The sequence below is a fragment of the Homo sapiens genome, chromosome 7 (genome assembly GCF_000001405.40).
Source record: "Homo sapiens chromosome 7, GRCh38.p14 Primary Assembly".
NCBI lineage: Eukaryota > Metazoa > Chordata > Mammalia > Primates > Hominidae > Homo > Homo sapiens.
The window spans coordinates 20,575,750-20,584,320 of NC_000007.14; the positions used below are offsets into that span (position 1 = coordinate 20,575,750).

General features: G+C 38.6%; 1 pseudogene; it reads left to right on the forward strand.

The window, feature by feature from the left end:
- EEF1A1P27 (eukaryotic translation elongation factor 1 alpha 1 pseudogene 27) lies at positions 6,508-7,658 on the forward strand (annotated as a pseudogene).
- Positions 7,659-8,571: the final 913 nt, after the last annotated feature.

Below are 8,571 nucleotides of genomic sequence, written 5' to 3' on the forward strand. Positions count from 1 at the left end.
CCCTTGCCTTAATAAATCTCCCTTCTCACTTTTCTATTTCCTGTTGGCCACCATTATCTGTCACCCATCACTGAAGTCATGTATGGGTTCTTCTTTCATTGCCTCCCACCTAGATTCTCTATCAGCCTCCCTTCCAAGTGAAGCTCCTGTTTTACTGTGTACTATTGTCAAAGTCTCCAGGCTGTCCTTGTAGCAATCAGTTCTATGTTCTGTTTTAAGACGTGTCTACCCAGAGCACAGCTGTCACAAGCTACCATTGCCCCACATGGTGCATTTGTACAAATCAGGAAAGGCATCCCATCTTCAAGACACTTGACTTCCGTGTGTCAAGAAACTTCTCATTATATAGTACACTTATAATGACTAAAATACGGTCCTACGAAATATAGGTATCAACAGGGTCACCAGGTGAATGACACTGTCTAAGATTTTGCAGTGCACAATCTGCATACAAGACTCCAGGCAGCCCTGTGATCCTGTCATGCCTCAACTCCATACATTAAATGACCCCTCATCACCTGTGAAAATAAATGCAGACCCGTTAGCCTTGTGAGGAGATGCACCACACCTGGCTTCAGCCTGCATCTCCAGTAGTAGCTCCTATGCCTCACCTCCTCACATACATCTGCTCCACTCTTCCGGCAAACTTTCTCAGGACTCACACTTGCCTGTCATCACAGCTTTAATCATCTATCTGCCTGGTACATCCTTCCTCCATTTTTTCAACCTGTAAATATTTCACCCATTTTTCAAATGTCATTTCTCCTAAGAAGCCTTATCTTTTCTCCACCCCAAATAGGAAGTGAGCAATTTCTCCTTTGAATCCACTGTACTTTGTTTATACCTCAGTTACAATATGCATAATGTATTGCCTTTTATTATAGTTCCTGGCTCATTTGACTGATATGTGCCCGATGGTAAACTCTTTAAGGTAAAGGTTGTGTCTCATTTTATGATTTCTTCAGCACCAAGTTTAGGATTTTATGCAGAATAACTTTTTAATTCACCTAGTTGAACTAAATCAGTAAGTCTTGCTCCCAATAAGTTGATTGATTATAAGCATTCCTATTCCTTGGGAATCTTATCAAAAAGAAATTTTTTATTTTCTATTCAATTGCCAAAAAATGGAATTATAATTATGTTTCTGGTCTTTATATGTGCATTGTATTCCATTTGCTTTACTTCTACAATAACTAGGTAACCTTCCTGGTCTTAGATATATAACCCATAAGATATATGTTCACTATTGTATTTTGCTTAACCAAGCAGGATTGAATATGATTCTTTCTTTTCTTTGTTTTGTAAAGTTAGTCTATCCTTGATTTTATAGGTCTTCATTTCCCAACATCTGTACTGTATGAATAAGACAATTCTTATAAGAGGGTGAAAGTGGTTTCTTATTTTTTAAAAAACTGCTATTTTGAGAGCAGCTCACAAGTAATAATATGACAAGAAGTATTTTTGGTCTTACACCTGCGGAGACTACTATGCCACTGTGGGTTTTAAAGAGATCAAAATCTCAACTGAGTTAAGAGCTTTTAATTCTTTTTATCACTTTGCTGTTAAAACTATACTTAGTGGTAAGAAAAATAATAATTATTTTTATTAGATTTGGATTAATTGATAAATATGTGATAAATGCATGGCTTTTAAAGATTACAAATGTTTTATGGGACCCATAGATTCCTAGATTCCTAGACCTGTGTCAAAAACTAGACCATGGATGGCAATTAAAGATGGTGATGCTCAATGACACAGAGATATAAATGCAAATGAAGTTGGCAATATTTATATTCTAAAACCACCTTAAAGCCCCTGCTATGTCATACTTCCTCTAATGAGGGAGCTTAACAGATAAACACTGACCTTTGTATTCAATTGCCCTCTGAAATGAAAGCAAAGAAAAAGTTTGCTATTCCTCATAAACTAATTTTCTACCTTTTTATCAAATTCAGAATATAGTTTCCCTTTCTGTTTTGGCTTCCAGGGAAATCAGAGTTAACTGAGATTGAGCTCTTATTTTTCAGGCCTGAAAATACATGTAATCCAGATGTTGAGGAACTAACTCACATCGTGGTAATTTTAAACCACAGGGATTTAAAGGTCACTTGGTCTAACATTCCCACTCAAATCTGAAATCCCTCTACAGCTTCTCTGACACGTGGCCATTTTAGCTGCACTTGAATGTTTCTAGTACACACAGCTCATGATTTCATGAAGGAGTTCTTCCCCCAGGGTTAGTTCTAAAATTCAGAAAGCTTACAATGTAGTGAAATTTACTTTTTTCCTTAACTTCGCATTAGTTCTGCCCTCCAGAGCCATACTTGATTAAAAAAAAATCCCCGTTTCATATGACTTTCCTCTTTGAATATTTAATTTAAACTGCCTTGCCTTTCCTTAGATTTCACTCCTAGCTCTGCTACTTGCTAGCTGTGAGATCCTGGGAAACTTACTCAACGTCTTTAAGCCTCAGTGTTTCCCTCTGTAACATGGAGATAATAATAGGATCCACTTCATAGGGTTATCTTAAGGAATTTATGAGAAAAAAAACTTGTAAAAATGCTTAACACATTGTCAGTACTCCCTGTGACTATCTTAAAAGATCTTTTTTCCTCAAGTATGTTCTCTCAGTGGCTTATATGGAAAGCCCTCTTTCTCTCAGTTCATCTGCATTCCTCCATTTTTGTTATTGTTCAAATTGCTCTTTCGCAATGCTTTTTCCACCTCCATGGCAAATAATTAGAATGTGACAGTGATGCTGCCAGATCTCCATAGTTCTAATGAGCCCTGCTAAACACACTCAAGTGCCACTTGTCTCCCTGTCGAGGTCTACCTTCTCTGCAGGCCAGAGCTCAGCACAGTGTCAAAGAAAACCTGTTGGTGATTGCCTACTTCTCTCTTGGAATCTCCTGTTCCTTCATTCTAACCTTCGATCACCATGCAGAGATGTAAAATCTGGGCTGCCATGTATACCCTTTCTCATTCAGCTTCTCCCAGGTCTCGCCAAAAATAAATAAATAAATAAACTTACCTGTTCTGTGTTCTTTTTCATCAGTGCCCTCATCTGACCTGGTATTGGTCATCTAGTCTTGCAAACCAGTTGTGCTCTTCAGCTAATAGAAACTCATGGCTTAATTTTTCACCCTTCCAAGAAACAAAAAAAAAAATGTTAATTTTGGGCCAAGCTTAGCACCTTGACACATCCTTGAAATGACTTTAAGTCTTTGATAACACGTGATTTCTTTTTCCCTTTTTTCCTTTGCTGTAGGTATCTTAATAAGTGCGTGTGTATGTGTGTGTGCGTGCATGCGTGCACGTGCATGCATACACACAGAGCATTGCAACCTCCTACACCCATTAACAATAGGTGGTATCTTCTTTAGGAAGGCAACAGTGTCAATCTCAGGTAATTGGAAGAGGGTGGCATGAGATGGGCCTCTCAATAAGAAATCTTGTGACATACCTTAATAAGGGTGTCTTCCCCCAAAATACTTGCATTATCTATGGCTTAGTTCAACCCTAAATACAAATTTATTCATGAGTCCATGCTATGAACATACTTATACATAAGAGATATTTCACAAATGCTGTTTGTTGGGGATGAATATTCACAAATGCTGTTTTGGGGGGATGAATATTTACTATCAGCCCTTGACTTTTTAAAAAATTAAGAAATTAACATAAAAGGATAAAGAGAAGATTTTCAAATGCCTTAGGGCTAGATGTTGTGAGATTCTCTTTCCACAGTATTTTCTTAATGCTGTCTTAATGCCAGATTTCAAAATGAATCATCCAAGAAAACTAAAAAGACCCTGTAACCTATTTTTCAATCAAAGTCAACAGAAGCATAACTTTCCTGAATATTTCATGTATCCACCAAAACAGAAAATGGCTGCAATTTCTCTAAAAGTTAGGCTATTCTCTGAACATATCCCCTCAATCTTTCCCATTTAGAAGTTGTCCACACTAAATATGAGTTCACTCTTTGAGTATGAACTTATAGTTAACATGTTCAAATTGATTGTGCTCACTCTGGTTGCTGGCTTTTCTTAGAAACGTCTTCTATTGACTTGTTTTCTACTTTCAGAGATGTGGCAAATTTCAGGAAGCCTATATTATAAAAATTGAATTGGAATAAAGTGAAAAAATAAATCAGCGACTCAAAGGGTTGTTTCAGCTATTAAACCAGACACTTTAGGTCTTCTGTGCCATTCACCATAAAGTCACCTTCTAAGTTAATCAAGTTGATTAAGAAGTTGATAATGACTAAGCCGTCAGTAAAGTTCATCTTATATTTTCACAAACATCCAAATTTTTCACTTATAAAACAAGAAATAACAGATTATTTTTCTACAAAAAGAGTTACAGAAACAACACAGACATGTCATGAACAAAAGACATTAATGAGATTTCTTTTGTAGAAATTGGCAGCTGGGAGGGAAAAGTGGATAGGAAGGCATGAGCCAATAATAATATTGAACTGCAGTCAACCAGTTAACTAGTTAACCGGGCTTGCAATCTGATATCCTAGGTTGCAAGAATGTTTCTTACAGTATCCCCCCGAAAATCACACATCCTTAAATATTTTCATTTTTAAGGAGATTAAAGCACTTTTTGAATCAATATTCTACAAATCCTAAAATGTGCCATCATTTTGATGACTATAACAGAGTTTCCCTAAGATATATATTGTCTTGCTCTCTGGAAGCCTCTCTCTACCTCAAGATTTCCTTTCTTTTCTTCTTTGAGACCCGTATCATGAGGCTCTGAACAGTCATGCTCCATTCTCTGGGTCAGCCCCAAGCTACTGAGACCTTACCTCTGACAAGAGTTCACATATTGGTAGTGACTTGCACTGCAGCTATTTTTTTTTTTTAATCCTTGACAGGTAATGTATGGGAAATATCTTTGGACTGAAAGTCAGCTGTCTTGAGAGTAATATGCACTACACCACTTATTCACTGTTTGATTCTGGGCAAATCACTGAACTTCACATATCTTCATAAGTGTTTAATGAGAATAACACTTTGCACAAAATCCAGTAAGTAATTATTTAGGGGCCATTAAAACCAGACATGATCTTGGAGGCTGCACTCCTCTAAACGAGACCTTGTCTCTGCCCTTGAGAGGTTCAGGGTTTAGAAGGAGAGACCGGCATTTGAATTGGCAAGGAGAATACGGAGCAATAAGTGCCAAGCAGGGGGAGGCCCCAGTGACCTTCCTGGAAAAATGAACATTTCTCAGCATTACTGATAAAAGATATCCCTGGCACTGAAGCTTGTAGCAAAACAGATACAAAGATACGTCAGTTAACATAAAGTCAAAATGTACGCAAGGCCAAAAAGTAAGATGAAAATGGTTTGATTATGGCTGCTAGAAGGGTATCCTAGATACATAGCTGCATTTGAATCAATAAAAATGTATTCAAAATTGTGTGAGTGTGTGAGTGTTCAGTTTTGGAGCTAGAGTCCTTAACTTTTATAAAATTATAAAAAAAAAAAGTGAATGACCCCGAAATGCTAGGAATCAATGCTTTCTAAGGTAGATACACTTTCTAGGAATTATAAATGAAATGCTTGGGTGAAAGTGTATGTTTGCGTGTGTGTATGTGTGTATAAATATATGCACAAGTCATCTTCTGCCACCAATTTACATGCTCCAAAAAATGTTCATGTTTCTGTACTTACTATTATGAGACGTCAAATATGGTAAATGTCTGTGCTTTATGGAGTTGCTGAAAGTGTTTTTTGAGATTTCCAAGTTAAATAATATGTAGCTCCCTTTCAAAACACACAAAAAAATTTGCTTGTATAATCATTATCTCAATGAGGAAGAGAAGTGAAATCTTATAAATTACTCACTTAAATGAATATATTATAAGGTGGCTATATTGGAGATGTCACACAACCTTTTATCTTAAAAGGAAATATGCAAAGAAAAAATAGTGTCTTTTTTTCTATTACTGATTTAATGTTGTTCTCAAGCCAAACACTGCTGGATATCAAGACGAAAAAATATTAAGTTTTCCAAGTAAAAGTGTTAAGTTTCTTCTGATCTAAGAGAGTAGTTATACAAGGTCTGCATTTTTTAGAGGGAAGAGTGAAATATATAGAAATTAAAGTGGTATGATACCCAGATTTGCTTTAAAATATTTTCACAAGAATGATAAGGTGAGGGGGTGGGGGAGGGAGGGCAGGGCAAGGCAGAATGGGGGAGGGCATAGGAGAAAAAAGAAAAAGAAATAGAAACAAAAAGAGGTTTTTCATAACGATTTTTCAGCCAGAACACGAGTGTTGTGAAAATCACCACTAAATCAAAGCCAAAACGAGAAAGAAATGACTCATATCAACATCGTCATTACTAGATATATAGATTAGGGCAAGTCCACGACTACTGGCCATCTGACCTACCAGTGTGGGGTGATCAACAAAAGAACCATTGAAAAGTTTGAGAAGGAGGCTGCTGAGATGGGAGAGAGCTCCTTCAAGTATCTCAGATTTTAGATGAGTGAAACAACGAATTATTGGTGTTAACAAAATGGATTCCACTGAGTCACCCTACAGCCAGAAAAGACATGAGGGAATCATTAAGGAAGTCAGCATGTACATTACAAAAATTGGCTACAACCCTGACACAGTAGCATGTGCGCCACTTTCTGGTTGGAATGGTGAGAATGTGCTGGAGTCAAGTGCTAATATGCTTTGGTTCAAGGGACAAAAAGTCACCAGTAAAAATGGCAATGCCAGTGGAACCATGCTGCTTGAAACTCTGCAATGCATCCTACCAACAACTCATCCAACTGACAAGACCTTAAGTCGGCCTCTCCAGGATGTCTACAGAATTTGTGGTATTGGTACTGTTTCTGTGGGCTGAGTGGAGACTGGAGTTCCCAAACCCAGCACAGTGCTCACCTTTGCTCCAGTCGACGTTACAACTGAAGTAAAGTCTGTTGAAATGCATCATGAAGCTTCGAGTGAAGCTCTTCCTGGGGACAATGTGGGACTCAACGCCAAGAACATATCTGTCAAAAATGTCTGTCATGGCAACGTTGCTGGTGACAGCAAAAATGACCCATCAGTGGGAGCAACTAGCTTCACTGGTCAGGTTATTATCCTCCACCATCCAGACCAAATCAATGGTGGCTATGCCGCTATTCTGGATTGTCACACAGTTCACATTGCTTGCAGTTTTGCTGAGTTGAGGGGAAAGATTGATCACCATTCTGGTAAGAAGCTGGAAGATGGCCCTACATTCTTGAAATAGGGTGAAGCTGTTGTCACTGAAATTGTTTCTGTCAAGCCCAGGTGGGTCGAGAGCTTCTCTGACTGTCCTTCTTTGGGTCATTTTGCTGTTTGTCATATGAAACAGACAATTGCTGTGGGTGTCATCAAAGCAGTAGACAAGAGGGCTGCTGGAGGAAGCGAGGTCACCAAGTCTGCCCAGAAAGCTCAGAAGGCTAAATAAATATTATCCCTACTGCCTGACACCTCAGTCTTTACCAGTGGTGGAAGAACAGTCTCAGAACTTTCTTTCAACTAGCCATTTAATAGTAAAAGACCCGTTAACGATCACGATGCCTCGTAAAATCTTCAGAAGGAGAATGTTTTGCCAACTGTTTTGTTTTGTTTTTTTCATGTGGCAGTTTTCAGTTATTAGTTTTTAAAATCACTCCATTTTAATAGAAAAAACTTAACCACAAATCTGTCACAGAATTTTGAGACCCATTAAGGCAAAGTTTAATGAGGACAAAATGAAACAGAAAGTTAGGTGATGTGTCCATGGCAGTATCTTGATGATTCTAGAATCAGAATATATGGCAGTTCATTACACTATTTTCTTTAATGTTTTGATGTTTGAAAACTTTATTAATTTTTCTTTAAAAGAGTCTAAGCAGAAAATAATTTATTTAAAGTAAAATGCTCAGTCCTTCACAGTTCTTTCCGCCTCTGGCATCTGGGCATATGAGGGAGTTTATGGGAAATTTTTGTGCTGAGGGACAGGGGCTTTCACTCCACACCCTCAGGCCTGTGTGTGCTACCTTCTGGGATTTGGGGATTTCGCTTATATCCATGGCTAGGTGGCCTACCAGGGTCATATTGTGTTTGGAATTGGTTCCTTCCGGTGGGTTCTTGGTCTCACTGACTTCAAGAATGAAGCCGTGGACACTCGCAGTGAGTGTTACAGTTCTTAAAGATGGTGTGTCCAGAGTTTGTTCCTTCAGATGTTCAGATGTGTCCGAAGTTTCTTCTTCTGGTGGGATCATGGTCTTGCTGACTTCAGGAGTGAAGCCATAGACCTTCACAGTAGGTGTTACAGCTCTTAAAGGTGGTGCACCCAGAGTTGTTCATTCCTCCCTGTGGGTTCGTGGTCTCGCTGACTTCAGGAGTGAAGCCACAGACCTTCGCAGTGAGTGTTACAGCTCTTAAAGGTGGCACGTCCGGAGTTGTTTGTTCCTCCCGGTGGTCTCGCAGTCTCGCTGACTTCAAGAGTGAAGCGACAGACCTTCGCAGTGAGTGTCACAGCTCTTAAAGGTGGCGCGTCCAGAGTTGTTCTTTTCCCCGCCAGTGGGTT